The following is an 18,964-nucleotide window of genomic DNA, read 5'->3' on the forward strand; positions in this document are numbered from 1 at the left end:
CCACACCTAGAGCCCAAACTTCGTCCCAAACCGTTGTTTGTTCTCCAGTCAGTTCTCCAAGAATACTATTTATTAACCACTGCCTGAGCATTGGGTCCATTCATTAACTTTAAAAATAATTTGCTTCTACATTTCCAATCTCCCTTTCCCTTATGAAGAAGGGCATATAAGTATCTGTACCTCACTGGATTACTGGGTAACCACTCTCCTGCTATTCTCCCATGCTGTGCATGTTAAATTAATTTGCATGCCTTTTTCTCCTACTGATCTACATTTTATTAGTCCATATTCAATCAACCTTCAGAGGGTGAAGGGAGAAGATTCCCTTTTTGCTCCTACAATGGCAAGTGCCTGTTCATACCAACCATTCATGTTCATGAAAAATGGGGGCTGGGAATGCTGATTTGACTTGTGTAATTGTGAAAAAGAGGCCCCAGAACAACACTGTGGCAAATTTCTCTACAAATTAGGACTAATCTCCAGGAACTCATTTCTGGTTGTAATGATTCACAAATTCACTAACTCCTAGATCCCATACATAGCAAAATCTTGTTTATGTAGCATTTTGGCAACTGAAAACTTCTTTAGCTAACCTTTCCCGTCTTCACCAAGGATATAATAGCTTGTTTCCCTTGTATTTTTCTTTTCACTTACAACTGGATGGGACAAACAAAATAAATATTTGTGGATTCAGGTGATAAAAATGATCATTTTAATTCATAATGGACATGAAGCACTGAAAAAGTGACTCAAATCATAACAAATTAAGTTCAAATAATCTAATTCTTAAAATTAGTAGTTTGCATATAAAATTTGGAATAAGGCTGCCTTCAATGAACATCACTTGATTAAATTTACAGTTGTTCTAAACCCTTTTAGGGTTATGGACTCCCCTTTGATAATGAAACCCATGTTTGTGCCATTTCTTCTGAATGGAAAAGTTGTATGTACAAATAATTGTGAACATTTTGAATAATATTTCCTGGAAGTCAAGGCATCTTAAGTATATCAGGAGAAGAACCCAAAACATCTCATCTTCATGTATGAAAAGTTAAATGTTTGGCCACAATCATTCATATTTCCTTCAAGATACATTTTAGGCCAACATTTGAATAGTCGAAGATGATTCTGTAAATGGAAAGTTTATATCTGATTATTTTTTTGAATTATTTTGAAATAATTTTAGAGGTACAAAAATGTTGCACAAATAGCACAGAGTTCTCATATATCCTTCACCTAGTTTCTTCTGTTCTCTTACATAAACATAGTAAGCACAATGATCAAAACAAGTAAATTAACATCAGCACAATTCCATCAACTAAACTAGACCTAATTAGAATCTTGTCAATTGTCCCATTAATTGCAACATACTTTAAACTATTCTTCTATTATTATTTGTAAATCTTAGGACTTGTAAATGTTCTCTTCCCCTTCATTTTTAAAAAACACCTAGTTGTAAACAATTTCAGTGTTTAACCACAGAAAAAATAGTAAAATAAATTGCAGTGACCTTACATTTTGACATTTATGCAATTACTGAAATTATGTTTTTGGAGACTTTTTGACATGAGGAAATACTTAAAAAATAAAACGTTAAATGCAGTACACAAAATTATATACAATATGATTTCATTTTTTGAAAATAAATACATAGATGTGTATGTGTGTGAACATACAGAGAAAAGGCTGGAAGGAAATATATTTTGACAGTATTTATCTGTAGATAGTGCGATTTCACGAGATTTTTATTTTTTTAATGCTTTTGCCTATATTTTAGGCTTTCTCCTATGAAACACATTTCTATTTTATAATCTTAGAAAATTATATTATTAAAATACTACTTGTAATTCTCTGATCATGTTAGGCAATTATTACTTTTGTTTCTGTGATAATTATATTTTGATTCTATAGGAGAAGGTTTTTATTTTTTAGAGACCTATGCTGAAGTAGGGGTAATTCCTCATGCAGTTTGAAATTTATGTTGAATTTGTTGGTAATTTACTTGGAATTGGTTGGATATAGATGGGTACACACACAGTTAAACACGCACACACAGACATATTTATATGCAGAGATAAGGAAGAAGCAAAACAAGAAAATACTCCCTGTATTTCCCTAGGCTCACCTAAGGAAGTAGATCAAATTTATCCACTCTGTCAGTGAGAAAACTCTACTCAAGATGCCTTTTTGTCTCTATGCATAATTATAGAAAAAACAAAAACTTACCCATTGTCTGAATTGTTTTATACCTGTAGTCAAATTCGTCTTGCAGATCTTCTAAGTATTTGGTATCTTGTTCTGTCATCTTTTCACAAAAGAAAACATACTCACTCTGCTGTCACAATTAAGCATGTCAATCAAACAACATCATAAGTATTTTAAAAAACTGCTTGGTGCTTCCAATCTCCAACAGCAACCAAAGACCATAATGAACGCACGCTTCTAAAGAGCTAATTCATATAAAAGTTGGATAATGTTGGAAGAACCAGATTGAACTTGCCCTTCCAGCTATTCTCTCTTTTTACTTGCCTGGAAGTCTTTCAGCATCTACCTGCTCATTTCTTAATTACTTCCAAATGATGCTATGCATATAATCTTTTTTTAATTGGAGAATATGAATATTTTTGCCCTTTTAGAACCCTTGGGTATTTCATATAACTCTGTACTAATGTATCAATGATCACTTTTTGCTGAAATCTTCATTTAAATATGCTGTAGCTTATGACAATTCAGCTTAAATATTTTTTTCTTTCTATTTCCTGAAATATGCCTATGCTTCTTCTGTGTCTCCCGTTATTCTGTCTTTGAGATTTTTACTTTACTTTTCCCCAAACCTGGTGATGTTTTCCTGTTCAGATATAATAGTAAATGTCAAGATCTGGGCTAAAGGCTTTTTTATATTATCTCCTTTAGTCTTCACAACACCCATGAAGTGGGTTATCCTCACTTTTACAGAGGAAGAAGCAGAGGCCACGAGATGTGAAGTAACTCACTTGTCCAAGGTCACTCAGGTGCTCAGTGAGAAGTCTGTGGGAAGTCCAGCAGTTTAACCTTGACCCCACCCTTAACCAAAGATAGACCCACTGCACTTCCTAGATTCAGACTACTGTACTTCCTTTTCTTCTTAGAAAAGTCAAACTTTCTACTGCCTGCTTATTCCAAGAAGTCTTCTCTAAGGAAACATATATCTACCACAGCAATGCTCTCATCACAAATTTTAAATTTTAATCAGAATAACATTTAATCCAAATTTTAAATGATTGGTTACAAAAAGTATAGAATTTGGAGGAAGAGAGTCTGAATTTGTGTCCCAACTCTATGACTTATTAGCTGCATGGACTTGGGCAAATGTCTTTGCATTTTAGCTTCTTTGCCTGTAAAAAGGGGTGTGGGGGTGGGACGAAGAAGGATAACAGTATCTACTTCAAGGAGTTGTTATAAGGATTACATTAGTTCGACTGCTTAAAACAGTGCCTGGTACCAAATATATGCTTCATAAGTAGTAGCTATTATTACTCTTCTAATCCCTGTTATCTCATTCTCTTAATGACATTCTCCATACTTATAAACCTTAGAAAAGAAACAAAGTAGTAGCTATTGACTACATGATACACTGTCTACCCACCCGTAGTAATAACAGCTACCAATTTTGAGCAACCTGTGCTGTGCCTATACCTTACATAGATTATCCTTTCGGCAACCTGCAAAGTAAACTATTTCCATTTTTCATGTGAGGAAACTGAGGCCCAAAGTCATATAATAATACATACTCAAGCTAGAATTCAAATCTAGTCTAGTCTAGCTTCAGTCTTTACTCTTTCTTTTCAGTATACCCCAATACCACTTGTAGCATTTTACTTTGATGCTAAGTTTCTGCAGAACAAAGTCTCATGGAAGGCTCTGAGCTACTAAACTCATGGAACCTACATGCATGAGAAAATGTACAAAATAAAATATGATAGCTTTAAAGCAGAGATATACTGTGGTTCCATCTTTTGATCTCAAAATTAATTAAAAGCTAAAAGAAGGCAGTATCTTGCAGAATCTTCTAATGAAAAGTGTATTAAACCAATGCCAGATCTCTGAAAAGTCAATGCTATGGTAAGTAATTAAGGGGCTTCTAGAGTATATTGTCATCAGTAATTGCAAAAGGTGAAAATACCCAGCAATAATCTTCAAAAGCTCTCTGAATGATCTGAGAGCTACATTCCAAATGTTCCGTAGAGAAACTGAGGTTATGGCATAAGTGGGGGAATTACATTGATTGAAAAGCATTGCTTTGCCTAAAAGTCAGGCCAGGCTTCCTGGAATCAGGCCCTGGGACAGGGATCAGCTACAAGGGATTTGTTGAAGGAGTCCTCTTAGCAGAAAGGACATACAAGAGAGGGAAAAGGAAGGGGATGGAGCTAAGTGAGCATGTGGTCTTCACTTAGGTCTAACTTTGGTTTGAGAAACCCAGGAGCATAACATGCACCAAAGGTTAACCCCAACTTGAGGCAAGATGTCGGGCCTCTCTCCCCACAACCCCCTGTCACTCAGTCATTGTCTGAAGGCAGCCAAAGTCTCCCCGTAGAGTCAATTCACCAGAGAAGCCATTGGCTGTCAATACTCAAAACAGTTGGGGATCCATGTACAGGCCTGGTAAAGATCTGCTCGGGGGTCCAAAAAATGTTGGCCTCTGCTGCATCCTACTCCTTAGGATTTTAAAAGGAATTTGTGCTGGATGCAAAACCCATCTGTGCACTTGATTAATGTGCTTAAGTATTCTTACTGTAGTAAAATAATAATCTCCTGCCTTGCATGGCAGATTATTAATAATGGTAGATTATTAATCTACACACTTGCAGAGTGAGTAGAGCCATTGGTTTTGACATTATAATGTGCCAAGGTATTTTGTCCTAGGTCTGTCTGATTCTTTCTCACAACAGTGTAAGCCCAGACTTTTGCATTCATGTTTTACTTGTTATGGAGGATCACTAAATCAGAAGTCTGAAAATAAATTTAAACCCTCTGCCTACTATTCAGATAATATATGGGACTGTTGATCTTTAAATATTTATAGTTTATTTTGATGGAATTATTATTTTTATAAATGGCAAGGAAATGAATGCTATGTAAGTTTTGGAAGGGAAATTAACATCCTATTTTATATACAACATGGCAGAAAGTCTTATTTAAGACATCTTCACTAGATCAATAAAATTGATAAATCTCTAGATAGACTGATTATGGAAAAAAGAGAAAAAAATTTATCAATATTAAATGAGAGATGTGATGTTACTACGGATTCTACAGATATTCAAATGACAATAAACATTATGAACAACTTTATGCCAATAAAACAACTTAGATCAAATGCACACATTTCTGGAAAAACACAAATTACCAAAGCTCATTCAAGAAGAAATAGATAACCTGAATAGCCCCATATCAAAGAAGTTCAAGGTGAAGTTAAAATGTTTCCCATAAAGAAATATTCTTATATAAACATAGTATGTGAGAGATATTTATCTTATTAACAAATTGCCCTATGATTTCTGTATACATTAACTTTGGGTGCATGGGAGAATGGTGCATAGTTATATGGGGACAGTATCTAGACTTTCTAGGTATCTGTATAAAAGCACTTACCTGCACACTGTTTTTAATGGCAGCCACTTTGTGCTCCACATTCCTCTGTCTTTCTGAAACTGAAGAACTTTGTAAGGATTTCTCTAGAGGCCCCTGGAAAAAGAATGTCTTGAAATCTCTCTGGTTTTGAAAAGGTTTATGATGAATGCAATACATACCGCATACAATTCGACCTGAGGTCTGGATCAATGTGATATGGATACTCTATAGTCATTAAAAAATCATGCTGTAAAAAAGTATTTAATGACATAAAATTTAAAGGGTTAAAATTTGAAGACTAGAGCAGATTATAAAAATACCTTATATAGGACAGGCACAGTGGCTCACGCCTATAATCCTAGCACTTTGGGAAGCTGAGGCAGGTGGATTGCCTGAGCTCAAGAGTTTGAGACCAGCCTGGGCAACATGGTGAAACCCTGTCTCTACTAAAATACAAAAAAAAATTAGCCAGGTGTGGCAGCGTGTGCCTGTAGTCCCAGCTACTTGGGAGGCTGAGGCAGGAGAATCACTTGAACCTGGGAGGCAGAGGTTGCATTGAGCTGAGATCGTGCCACTGCGCTCCAGCCTGGGCGACAGAGCGAGACTCCGTCTCAAACAAACAAACAAACAAACAAGCCCACCATACATAAATATAAACATATATATATGATCTCTATTGCTTGAACATATATGCGCATGTATGTATAAATACATTTGCAAGTACATGGACAGATGTATAGATATGTAAACTCAAGTACATGTGACTGGGAGAATATATACACCAAAATCTTACCAATGTGTTCTCTCTGAATAGTGAAATTACAGATAATTTGATGATTTTAAAAATTTTGTCTCTAATTCTCTATAACATCTATATAACTTTTGAAATTGTATAAAACCAATATGTGTAATTTTTAAAATGGTATAACGAAACTACATTAAATTGGCCCTAAATTTAGAATTGGGGATGTTGAATCTGCTGGGATGAGATTTGTTTTTACTTTAGAACAAAGGGAGTTTATGAAAGAAAACATAAAAATGTTAGCCTGGTTAAGCAAAAAGACAGTTCCTCCAAGCAGAACGTCTTAGCTACTCTAATAATCTGATACTGGGTGTGTTCCTTAGATAAAAAGTTCTATAACTATTAGAGATGTAAGCAGCCCCTTCATCTTAAGTTGGGTGGGGAGCCATGGTTAGAAAGGTTGATAAACTAAAATCCGCAGCAAATTCAGTGCAGTAACCTCAAGTAGAGCCCATGTCCTTGACTCTTGATCAGATGTTCTTCCAGTATACCACACTCTTACAATTGGTAAAGCCTTTATAAAATTCTCTTTCTATCATCAGCCTCCATTATTTGTCTACCTAGTTGAAATTTAATAACCAGCACTTCTTTTGTGGTAGTATGTGGTATTAGCAAATTATTTTCAGAGTGACTTTGATGAGCATATACTCAAACAAACATTTTGACTGATATCTGACATTGGAAGAGAACACGCTCTCTCACACACACACGTGCACAGACGAATAACTAGATATAAGAAGGGTTCAAAAAAGGACAGCTGAGAATACATGTGAGAATACCATATATTCATAAAAGTATCTTAATTTTTACCCCAAAGGCACTAAATCAAACTATATGTACTTTAGAAACTTACTATAGTTTTAATATTAAATAAAAATGATACCATCCTTCTTCATCTAAAAAATAAAGTTGTCAAAACTTCAAAGTCCTCCCAAAACAGCCATAACCTGACAATAACTAAACATGAGAATTTTTTAAGAGTTAAATAACAGATACTTTTGGCCGGGGGCGGTGGCTCACACCTGTAATCCCAGCACTTTGGGAGGTCAAGGTGGGAAGATCACTTGAGGTCAGGAGTTCAAGACCAACCTGGGCAATGTAGTGAAATCTGTCTCTACTAAAAATACAAAACTTAGCCAGGTGTGGTGGCAGGTGCCTGTAATCCCAGCTACTTGGGAGGCTGAGGCAGGAGAATTGCTTGAACCTGGGAGGCAGAGGCTGCAGTGAGCCGAGATCACGCCACTGTACTCTAGCCTGAGTGACAGAGCAAGACTCTGTCTCAAAAACAAAACAAAAAAAAAACTTTTGTTGGACCTTCAAAAATAAATATAATGGTATGATTTATTGAATTATGGAGGATGTCACTTGGAAAATTAATTACACACCCTTTCCTTTTTGTAAGGATTAACTGAAAAAAGTATTCATTAAAGACTGCATTGATTCCTCTACTTGTTTTTAGTGGGAACTCTGAATTCATCCAGGAAAATGGGATAAAATATAATCTAAACTATGTTAGAGTAAAGTACACTCACACAATCAACAAGCAAGTATTCATGGAACTTCTGTAAGACAAAATTCCTGCTCACGGACTGGTTTACACTGTGAGGTAGGAAATGGAAGCAACTGACAGCTGTAGAGCAAGACCAGAACATACAGGAAGAGGCAGAGTGGGAATGACAGAAATTCAGCTTGGAGGTGATTACTATATTTCTAGGCTAATATTGTAGGACTCTGGAACAGAGTGTGGCCAGTACAAATGGGAAATGATGTATAGATAAGATTCCAGACATACACTCTGGAAAGACATGGTAATTGTCTTAGCATGGGGGTGAAGAAAAGGAACTACGCAAAGATGATACTAAGACCTTGATTGCAAGTGACTGGAAGGATGGTGGCACCACTAACATAAGTAAAAGAAGCTGGAAAAGATTCTTTAAAAATGTCTCCTTTCTTTCTTTCTTTTTTTTTTTTTTTTTTTGTTTTGTTTTAAAGACACAGAGTCCCTTTCTGTCACCCAGGTTGGAGTACATGGTGTGAACATAGCTCACTGCAACCTTGAACTGCTGGGCTCAAGTGATCCTTCTATCTCAGCCTCCACAGAGCTAGGACTATAGGCATGTGCCACCATAGCCAACTAATTTTTAATTTTTTTTTTTTTGGAGACAGGGTCTTGCTGCATTGGCCAGACTGGTCTCAAACTCTTGGCTTCAAATGATCCTCCCACCTTTGCCTCCCAAAGTGTTAGGATTACAGGTGTGAGCCACTGTACCCTACCAAAGATAATAATTTCTGTTTCAGAAAAATTGAGTTCAAGGTGATAACAAGATCACAAGGTCAGAAAATATTACCTGGACAGGCATGTTGGCTGCAGCCAATATTCTCCTCTCTTCCCTTAAACAGTTTGAAATAACCACAGCTACATGCATTGGATTTCCATGAAATTTTCCCTGAAAAAAAAAACAATGAGCAAAAATAACTAACGTAAAGCTTAAATATATGTATCATAAGAAAATATCACCTCTTGAAAAACAACAACAATCTCCTATTAAATATGTGAAATTACTTGGGATTTGTTCCAATACTCTGTTCCATTAGAAAGTTAGAGAAACTCATACTGTAAACGTAGACCCCTAAAGAGAGCATATTTATCTCTTTGTCCTCAAAAATAACTTTTAACAATGAAAAATGGTTCTCGAGCACCTTTTTAGGAAAGATCCTGAACACACACTTAGGAGGGTCAGTTTACTTTAAGTTTTGGGCAGGTTTTTTCTTTTTTTTTTTTTTTGAGACAGAGTTTCAGCCTGTTGCCCAGGCTGGAGTGCAATGGTAGAATCTCAGCTCACCACAACCTCCACCTCCCGGGTTCAAGTGATTCTCCTGCCTCAGGCTCCCAAGTAGCTGGGACTACAGGGATGCACCACCATGCCCAGCTAATTTTGTATTTTTAGTAGAGACAGGGTTTTTCCATGTTGGTCAGGCTGGTCTCGAACTCCCGAACCCAGGTGATCCATCTGCCTCAGCCTCCCAAAGTTTGGGCAGGTTTTACATAAAAGTTACTTTCCTATAAATTATCATGAATGAGGTGGTCTCAATTTTTCACTTGTTAACTGTGTGTCATGGTTTGCTTAAAGCATTTGTTTCTGTCCCTATTTGGTACTGTTTGTGTCAACTAGCTCATAGCTGCATTAGTATACTAGAGTGAAACTATATGATACATTGTTTCAGCAACTATATTTTTATGACATCTAAGCATATACATCTTTTATTACCAAGGTTAATGATGCAGATACTGTAAATTGGCAGCCTGTGGGCCTAATTCAGCCATCAGTTACTTGGTGCAAATTAAAATACTGGAATCCCTTTGGAGAAAGTATGTACTACCCAGGGTTGACACAGTGCCTACCAGTGAGTGTCCCAAGCACTCATTTACCTTACCTGCAAGGCCTCTGTAGGTGTCTGAGTTTTCTAACCTTAATGGATAGAACTAATCTGAACAACACTATCAATTTAGTCAATAGTATTAAATTTCTTTGTTACTGGACTTTTTCCAGGGCAGGATTAACAGGAAGCACAGTAGAAAAATGCATTTATTTAGTTTCCCTCAGCCCTCCTCCCTGAAGCTGGTGTGAATATATATGAAATGACCAAAAGGTTAGCAGCAGAAAAAATAAAACAAAAATCCACAAAGTGGAAAATTAACAATAAAAAATAGACTATACAGATATAAACTAGAAGATTTTTCTAGAGAAAAAATAGGTTATCGGTTGTAAACTTTTTTGACTTTGACTTTGCTGCCACAATTTTATTAAATGATGTCTGTTAATTACTTCTATTTGTTTTATTAAATGATGTATGTTAATTACCACTTCTATTTGTAAAACAAGAGTAAACACCAACTATCTGAATTCCTGCTCTTACATATTTTACAGTCTTCCAAACTCTTTCTTTTTTCTCTTTAAATCAAAAGTCTCCAAATGAAAAAAACAAAAATAAATTGACTGAAACTCAAAAGGTAAAGAAATAAAAATGATCCTATTTATGAAGCGGGGATACCATTTTTTCCATTTCCGTGTGTCGACAATTTCAGATTCTCTCTAGTTAGAATTTGTTCCTGATGTTAATTTTCCCATGTATTATTTTTTTCATGTAACCTATATTCAACTCTCCAAGAAAAGCTATGTTTTCTCATTTTTCTCAATTTATTTTAATATTATTCCATTGTTAAAAAAAGGGCTTCTCCTAGGGCTAATTTGGAAGCTCTGCTATTCATGTAAACTTGAAAACTCTTGCCATCCAAGATTAGGATCCTTTTTAGTTCTCAGAGTTCCTCTAAGAACCCAAGAATTACCATTATTTGCCTGTTTTTCTCACAGTTGCAGGAATATTTCTATGCCGATCATTCAGATACTACCTTTCAACATTTCTCAGTTGTGTTGTACACTTTTTTCATTTTCCTTTCTTACTTGAACTTCTTCTACCTTCCTTTTCAGATTCAGTTTCCCCCATACTTTGTATGGTTAAATTACTCACTTTTTCTTCTTTGTTAAGAGCCAGGAATCACCGCTGTTTTCATCCAGGATATCTTTTCACTTTCCTTTTGCATTTTTCCTAAGTCCCTCACTTAAATGTATGAACAAAAACATCTTATGGAAAATTGATCATTATAGATTCAGTAACAAATGAGCACTTCTATTTTCCTAAGTATCAAAGACATACTCATATTTACCTTTCAGCAGTTACTAAGTACGTGAACCTCAAAATAACAATAAAACAAACCCTTAAGTGTGTGTTAGTGGGAGGAAGGAAGCAGCATGCCAGAAAAAGAGAAACTGCTCATTTTCTGTAGTGTATCAGTTTCTCATGCAAATTTATTGCAAATACCTTCTACTCTATGGCTTATCTTTTTCCTATCTTCTAGTGTCAATGAAGAGGTTTTAAATTTTAATAAATCATTTATTAAACTTTATGCTTCTTATGATTTAAGAAATCTTTCTGTAAGCTGCAGGCATGGAGATTTTTCTTTGTGGTTTTGCACCATTGATTGTAATTAACTTGGAGCTTGTTAATAATGAGAGTTTTCTTTCATTTTTTTCCACATGTCTACCAAATTCCAATAACATTTACTGAACATCTTATTCTTTTACCACTGCTCTGCTGGGCCAGCTCTGTCATAAATCAAGTGTTCCTTTGTGGGTGGGCTTGTTTCTGGACTCCATTCCATCTTATGGTTCTCTCTCTGCTTCATCAATAGATAATCTTTTTGTGTTTTTTACTACAGCTTTATAGTAAGTCTTGATGTCAAGTAGAATAGGTCTTCTTTATATTTCTATATACATTTTAGAATCAACTTGTCAAGTCACGCACACACACATATGCACACCCTGGTTGAGAATTTGAATGACACTAAATCTTTAGGTAAAATTTAGGGAGACTTGGCATCTTTATACTTGTGTTCTAATCTATTTATTTATGTCTTCTTTAATGTTTCTCTATTAAACATTATAATCTTATATGTGTTTCACTGGGTTTATTTCTGTAGATGGTATTTTTTGATACTAGAATAAATATCTTTTTCCTCATTGTTTTTGCTGTTATATAGAAATATAATTAATTTTTGTATATTGATTTTGAATCCAGCAACCTTGCTAAACTCTGATTCTAATGCTTTTGTAATATCTCTTATTAATTCTAAAATTATATCTGTATATTCTTTGGAATTTTCTGCATATACAAATCATATATCATGTGGATATTGATAGAATTTTCCTCCTTTTTAATCATCTAACTTCCATCAGGATTTCATCTTTGTCCTAAGGTGACTTATTTAAAAATGTATTTGTTAATTTCTATACATAGGGATTTTCTATTTATCTTTTTTTTACAGATTTTTAGAATAATTTAATTTTAATCAGAATACATTCTCTGAATGACTTCAATCATTTTAAATTTGTTGAGACTTGTTTTATGACCCAGCATATTAATATCTTGTAAATGTTTCATGTGAGCTTGCAACAAATATGTATTTTGCAGTTGATGGGTACAAATGTTTCATACAGGTTTATTAAACCATGTTTGTTAATTGTTTTGTTCAAATTTCTGCATCCTTGCTGATTTTTCTTTGCCTGATAGATTTTTGCAGTCATTGAAAAAGGTAAGTTAAAATCTACTCTGTGAATTTTTCTTCTTGTGCTACTGTCATACACATTTAGACTTTTATATATTAGTGGTCAATGAAATCTTTTATTACCATGCACTGACCTTTATCTCTAGTAATGCTTTTTGCCTTGAAACAAAAATACAAAGTATACCACAATGCTTTTTATCACTTAGAATTTTTATTTTTTCTTTATTGGTAAAACTCTTGATTTATTTCAACATAGATATATATATTTACTAATATATCAGTATTGTGTACATATATTAAAAGGGAAGTATATGTGTAATAAATTGGCTAATGTCTTCCTAAAACTACTTCACTTTAGAGTTCAATTTTTCTGAATCTCCTTTAAACTTAGATTTATTGGCACTCATATTTTTCCATAAAATAATGTCTTCTGGGCCATCAAGCATGACAGCAATGCATATTTCTGTAGAGTGTGCACAATTATTGTCTTCATTTTGTAAGTTTTGATGCTGGCACTTTCTTGATCTCTCCAAAATTTCTCAGTAGAAGGTTTCAGACAAGAACCAGGACTCATATTTTTTCTACATATGGTTAAATGGTTTGTTGACTGAAACATTAAAGAGTTGTAATAGTCTAGTCATACCATCATGATAAACAACCACATCACTAATAGATGAGATTCGTATTTAACTTTTCAGGCAGATGTCCATGGAATCATTGAGAACCAGAATATATGGTAGATTCTCAGATGTCTATTCCAGAAGACTTCTAATCAGTCGTCTGTCACCACAGTCATTATCCATCCACTATCGTGTTTCACTCTTAATAATACCTTTGAAAAAGTTCTTTAAAATTTTTTTTTGTTATACTTTAAGTTCTGGGATACATGTGCAGGTTTGTTACATAGGTATACATGTGCCATGATGGTTTGCTGCACTCATCAACCTGTCATCAAATTAGGTATTTCTCCTAATGCTATCCCTTCCCTAGCCCCCCATCCCCTGACAGGCCCTGGTGTGTGATGTTCCCCTACCTGTGTCCATATATTCTCATTGTTCAACTCCCACTTATGAGTGAGAACATGCTGTGTTTGGTTTTCTGTTCTTGTGTTAGTTTGCTGAGAACGATGGCTTCCAGCTTCATCCATGTCCCTGCAAAGGACATGAACTCATCCTTTTTTATGGCTGCATAGTATTCCATGGTGTATATGTGCCAAATTTTCTTTATCGAGTCTATCATTGATGAGCATCTGGGTTGGTTCCAAGTCTTTGCTATTGTGAACAGTGCCAAAATAAACATATGTGTGCATGTGTCTTTATAGTAGAATGATTTATAATCCTTTGGGTATATACCCAGTAATGGGATTGCTGCGTCAAGTGGTATTTCTGGTTCTAGATCCTTGAGGAATTGTCACACTGTCTTCCACAACGGTTGAACTAATTTACACTCCCACCAACAGTGTAAAAGTGTTCCTATTTCTCCACATCCTCTCCAGCATCTGTTGTTTCCTGACTTTTTAATGATTGTCATGCTAACTGGCGTGAGATGGTATCTTACTGTGGTTTTGATTTGCATCTCTCTGATGACCAGTGACGATGAGCATTTTTTTCACATTTGTTGGCTGCATAAATGTCTTCTTTTGGGGAAGTGTCTGTTCATATCCTTTGCCCACATAAAGTTCTTATTCTTAGACATTGTTTTACAGTTACACAAATTAAATATGGTGGTGACTTCAGCAATCAGCAGTTAGACATAAGATCATAGTGACATGCTGCTTTTGATACCCCAAATTCATAATCCTGGACTCCTTGAAGTTCCATTTGTATTGGCAGTATGATTTTAAGTCTTGCCAAGGAAAACCACTCCCTCATCCCTAGCATTACCTCTTTAATTAAACACATATTATCATTTTTCCTCACTTGCATCATGCTGGAAGTTAAGTGTACCCTGCTCAGTCAGCAGGATGTTTCTGATAAATTGATGTTGTACATCTTAATGATAATACTGTGCAATGCATGAATCATTCACTCCAGGGTCTTATTGTGCTGAGATTTCTTTCATCTATTATGAGGAATTTGGCAATTTCTCTTGCCACTGTTGCTTTGTGTATGACAGGCAATCTTTTTTGCATTAATTTCAGTAACAAAATATAATACAACTTTATCTACTTGTGAGCATCTTCCTTTCTTACATCCTATAAAGGATTTTATTGTTGCTTTCCAAGAAAACTTGGAATTTAGGGTCATCCATCTAGTGACAAATGGTTGCTTCACAAATATCAAATTTGTACCCTGCTGATTTGTTCCCGTCCCTTTCTGCATACATAATAACTATTTGTTTGAATCCTAAATTATAGTGTTATATTTTGATGACATTTTAAACAGCAATTAAGATCAACATATGTTGCACCAACAGTGCACATAATTCGATTGAAGTGACAACAACATGATAGCTTTGACCCAGTTTCACATCACAGGCAATGACAACGATGTTGTGATTGCCACATGGCAACAGCAATTAAGAGGTGTTATTGATTATAATATGCATTCTATTTCAGAGATTTAAAGATGTTAAAATGTGGAGAACAGTGTCATAGAATCCATGAACATGCTATTTATTCTTTTTGCTACTTTATGCTAAATTTCTTGGCTTTCCTTCAAATTCCCCTTCCACAGCCTTTCTATCTAATTTCCAAATTTGACTTGTCATTAAAGAGTAACTAGTTCATCTGCTCTTTTTCTTCCAAATGGTCCAAGAAGTTCCAGAGTCAGAAGTAATAGATGTGAGAAGCCCTGTTCAAAATAATCTTCTTCATACAGGCGACATGGAGCCTGAAACTTCACAATTAGGAATTCACTCCTCTGAGTTCTTTTCCCAGTGGCCCTCTTAAAAATGTAAACACATTTGGAGGGTTAATACCACATTTAACAAATTTCTTCTGTATTGTGAAGGATTTTTCAGATGATGTTCTCTGACTGTAGTGACCTGGCAACTGCAGGATGAGAATGATAGGTCCCAGGTCAAATAAAGGGAGAATTTTCTAGAGGGCCTGAAACAGGAGGCATTAGTGACCAAAGGGGATATAGGATTCTGAGGAAACACATAACCAACAACTGTCCTAGCTTGGGTTTCTTCAGAAACTGACCTTGAGACAAGGATTCCAGTGCAAGTCGTTTAAGTGGGAGTTGGTCCCACAAAACACTGTTATGGGAGTGGGCAAGTGAGACGAGGAAGAGAAGGGAGCCAGTAAGGGTGTGCTGTTAGCCATTTGCTAAGATGGGCTGAGAACCCTTGAAGTTGGTATGGAATATGTGACAGAGTTATCTACTCAAGGACTTTGGGAACTGGAGTATTTTCACATCAGCTCTTGTCATCTATCATTAGCAATGAAAAAAGATGGGATACTGGCCGTTGGATTTCTACTTGACTAAACTAAAATGATAAGGCCAAGAAGATGTGAACAGGACAGCCCCACCTCTGCTGTACCAGCTCTTCTCCTAACCCCAATTTGAGAACTTTTTGACTTCTCATTTTTTTAACTACCTACAACCATACTTCTCTCAAATGTAGATATTTATTCTTTGTGGTATCTCTGGGATATGAAGCATTTGTCTCCATTTACAGAGTAAAATATTTTCATTCACATTTTTGAATTAGAAATGTGCAACCTACTGCGTACTTCTGGTTGCCAACTAGCTCTCTCTCCCTTTGCATCACAAATACTGCTGTTGAGTCATTTTTATCTTTATTCCTCGCCAATGTCAAACACACTGGCCTGTGTGGGTATCAAACTGACTTACTCATAAATTAAGTAAATAAGCCCAAATGCCTTTCAAGTTCGCATGATTTTAGTAATCTTTGATGAAAAAAAGACAGTTTTAAAATTATTGCTAAAATAAAACAGCAATGTCTTCAGAATTTAGACATTTGGCCTAAATTAGTCCGTCTTTGATAGGTGTTTTAAGATATAGAACTTTGTGGCTGGGTGTGGTGGCTCACGCCTGTAATTCCAGCACTTTGGGAGGCTGAGACAAGCAGATCATGAGGTCAGGAGTTCGAGACCAGCCTGACCAACAAGGTGAAACCCCGTCTGTACTAAAAATACAAAAATTAGCTGGGCATGGTGGTGCGTGACTGTAATCCCAGCTACTTAGGAGGCTGAGGCAAGAGACTCGCTTGAACCCAGGAGGCAGAGGTTGCAGTGAGCCGAGATCATGCCATTGCACTCCAGCCTGGGTGACGGAGCAAGACTCCGTCTAAAAAAAAAAAAAATAGAACTTTTTTTCTGACACTTGCTTAACCTGTCTATAAGCTTATGTTCTTAGAGTTGAGCCATTAGGATATGATGAAGCCTAGTTCTAGGGATGGTTCTTTGATCTGGGCTCTGCACCTGGTACATAATTAAAATTACTTACGTCCTAAGTTTTTCACTAAAAATGAGTTATTAAGAATTGACATTACAATTAATACATGTAATTAAAACTACTAAATACAAAGTACATAAAAAAAGGTAAAGTGTATTTTTCATAAAGTTACAAGAAGGCATGGGGAGGTGGTTTTATTAAAGGAAAATTAATTTTCTCTAGTTAAAAAGTGTTTAAGGATTGTTTTAAGTTAAAATAAGGAGAAAACTGAAGGTTTAAACAAGTTGTGAAAGGTTTGAGAAAAATTAATCTTATAAAAAAATTCTATATGTGAGCAAGTTAGCTAAATTTTAAATGGACTTTTTTAGTTTTTCTATAAATTAAACATTAAAATAAAAAGCATACTGACGTAGGGCCAGAATCTAGGCCTTTGTGTTAGAATCACAGGATTTTCTTGGAGCACTGATCTACTCTTTAATAAAAAATTATAAAAATATAAAAAGTTTATGAAAATCTTACCTTATGGCTCAACTGATTAAGGTTTATTTATTCATAAGGTTTTATTAAAAATAGCTTTAGCATTAATAATATACTATACAAAGGTAAAAAAAGTAGTTTTTCTCTCGAACAAGATTTTTGTGTAATATTAGAAAATAGTAAAATATTTTTATCTTTTGAGTAAACTACCAAAAAAAAAAAATGGGAGAGAGAAAGATTTTGTTGGCCTCATGCTATCTTTATTAGATTTTATTGTTTGGGAAAGTAAGTCTCCTCTCTGCCAAAGAGTAAATGTTTCTGCTCTTTTGAAATCTTTGAATTATCATTTTGGCTAAATAAATTACTTATTTTATAGTGACTTGTGGTCCTATTTGTGATATGAAGTATTTAAAACCTTTCATATTTGACAATTCAAAATCAAATTCTAAATTCAGTCTTTTGTCCTAAAACTAACTTTTCAGAAGTCCAAGAGAGACATATTGATCTTACTTGATATGTTAAAGTCATATAGGAAACACTCCCAAATATAAAATGGTGTTTAACTTTCTTTGGGTTAAATATTTATATTTATATTATATTTATATTAATGTGTTATTAGTATGTATTCCAAATTGTATGAGATTCTTATGATTCTGATATGTCTATGTTATCAGTAGTAATTATAATTATTATGTAAAATTGTTGAAAGCCACAGAAATAACCAAATTTCCTTGGCAATTGTGTCTTTAACTGTGGATGTTCTAAAACTTTTGTCATCCACAAACAATTGTTTTATGTTGATCCTTTCAAAATTGGTTCAAAGTCATCTCAGGATTCTGACAGGTGCTCTTGAATGCAGGTTTCTGATAACTTTGGAGACAGTGCCAATGGAATAGAGAGAAAACTTCCAGGACTCTCAGGGAGAGCTGATGTGTTCATGAGAATTGCTGACCCAATATCAAGTAGAACAGAAGTTAATTGCATGGACTGAACTAATAGAAAATTTAAATAATTTTATTACTTTTTTTGTTTCAAACTTTACTGATTCTTTTTTTGTTTTTCAAAGTCAAGAAAACCTTTTTTTCATTTGAACTATTTACAGCTTTTAACAACTGAGTAAAATATATTCTTGTGAGCAAAATTTGAAACATATTTCTTTCTCCAGAATTTGGAAACTATTTGTGAGTATTCTTAATTTATGGCAATAGTTATTTTCATAAGTTCAATAATAATAATCTCTTTTCTTCTGTAAGAGGACACACTGAAGACACTGGCTATTTTACCAAGTCTTTGGTTGCAACGATATTTTCAGATATGAACAGATGGCTTTGAGGAATTGGGATTGATGTACAGAGCCCATAAAAGCCCTTTGGAAAAACTGGCCTTCTATCTTGTCCTTCACAGGGTTCTTGACCTGTGATAAGTAAAGATTGTCACTTTCTGACAGGCCCGGGAACCTCATAGGACCTCAAGAAGAGAGGAATTCACCCAATTCATACAACTATCTGCAAGCATAGATAAATCCTTGGCTGGGCTTGAGGCTTTTAAAAGGTCTAATTTGAGAGTCCTTATTTTTAAATAAAAGTT

At 34.9% G+C, this 18,964-nt stretch overlaps 1 protein-coding gene across 5 annotated transcripts in view; it reads right to left on the bottom strand.

The window, feature by feature from the left end:
* The window catches only part of STAT4 (signal transducer and activator of transcription 4), a 122,021-nt gene that overhangs the window by 37,891 nt on the left and 65,166 nt on the right, over positions 1 to 18,964 (bottom strand). For all 5 annotated transcript variants that reach the window (NM_001243835.2, XM_047445604.1, XM_047445603.1 and 2 more), the window contains 3 exons: positions 8,761 to 8,859; positions 5,632 to 5,724; positions 2,227 to 2,305 (listed from right to left, as the gene is read on the bottom strand). In NM_001243835.2, coding sequence (NP_001230764.1) covers positions 2,227 to 2,305; positions 5,632 to 5,724; positions 8,761 to 8,859 — 271 coding nt within the window. The remainder of the gene's footprint in view (positions 1 to 2,226; positions 2,306 to 5,631; positions 5,725 to 8,760; positions 8,860 to 18,964) is intronic.

The sequence above is a fragment of the Homo sapiens genome, chromosome 2 (genome assembly GCF_000001405.40).
Source record: "Homo sapiens chromosome 2, GRCh38.p14 Primary Assembly".
NCBI lineage: Eukaryota > Metazoa > Chordata > Mammalia > Primates > Hominidae > Homo > Homo sapiens.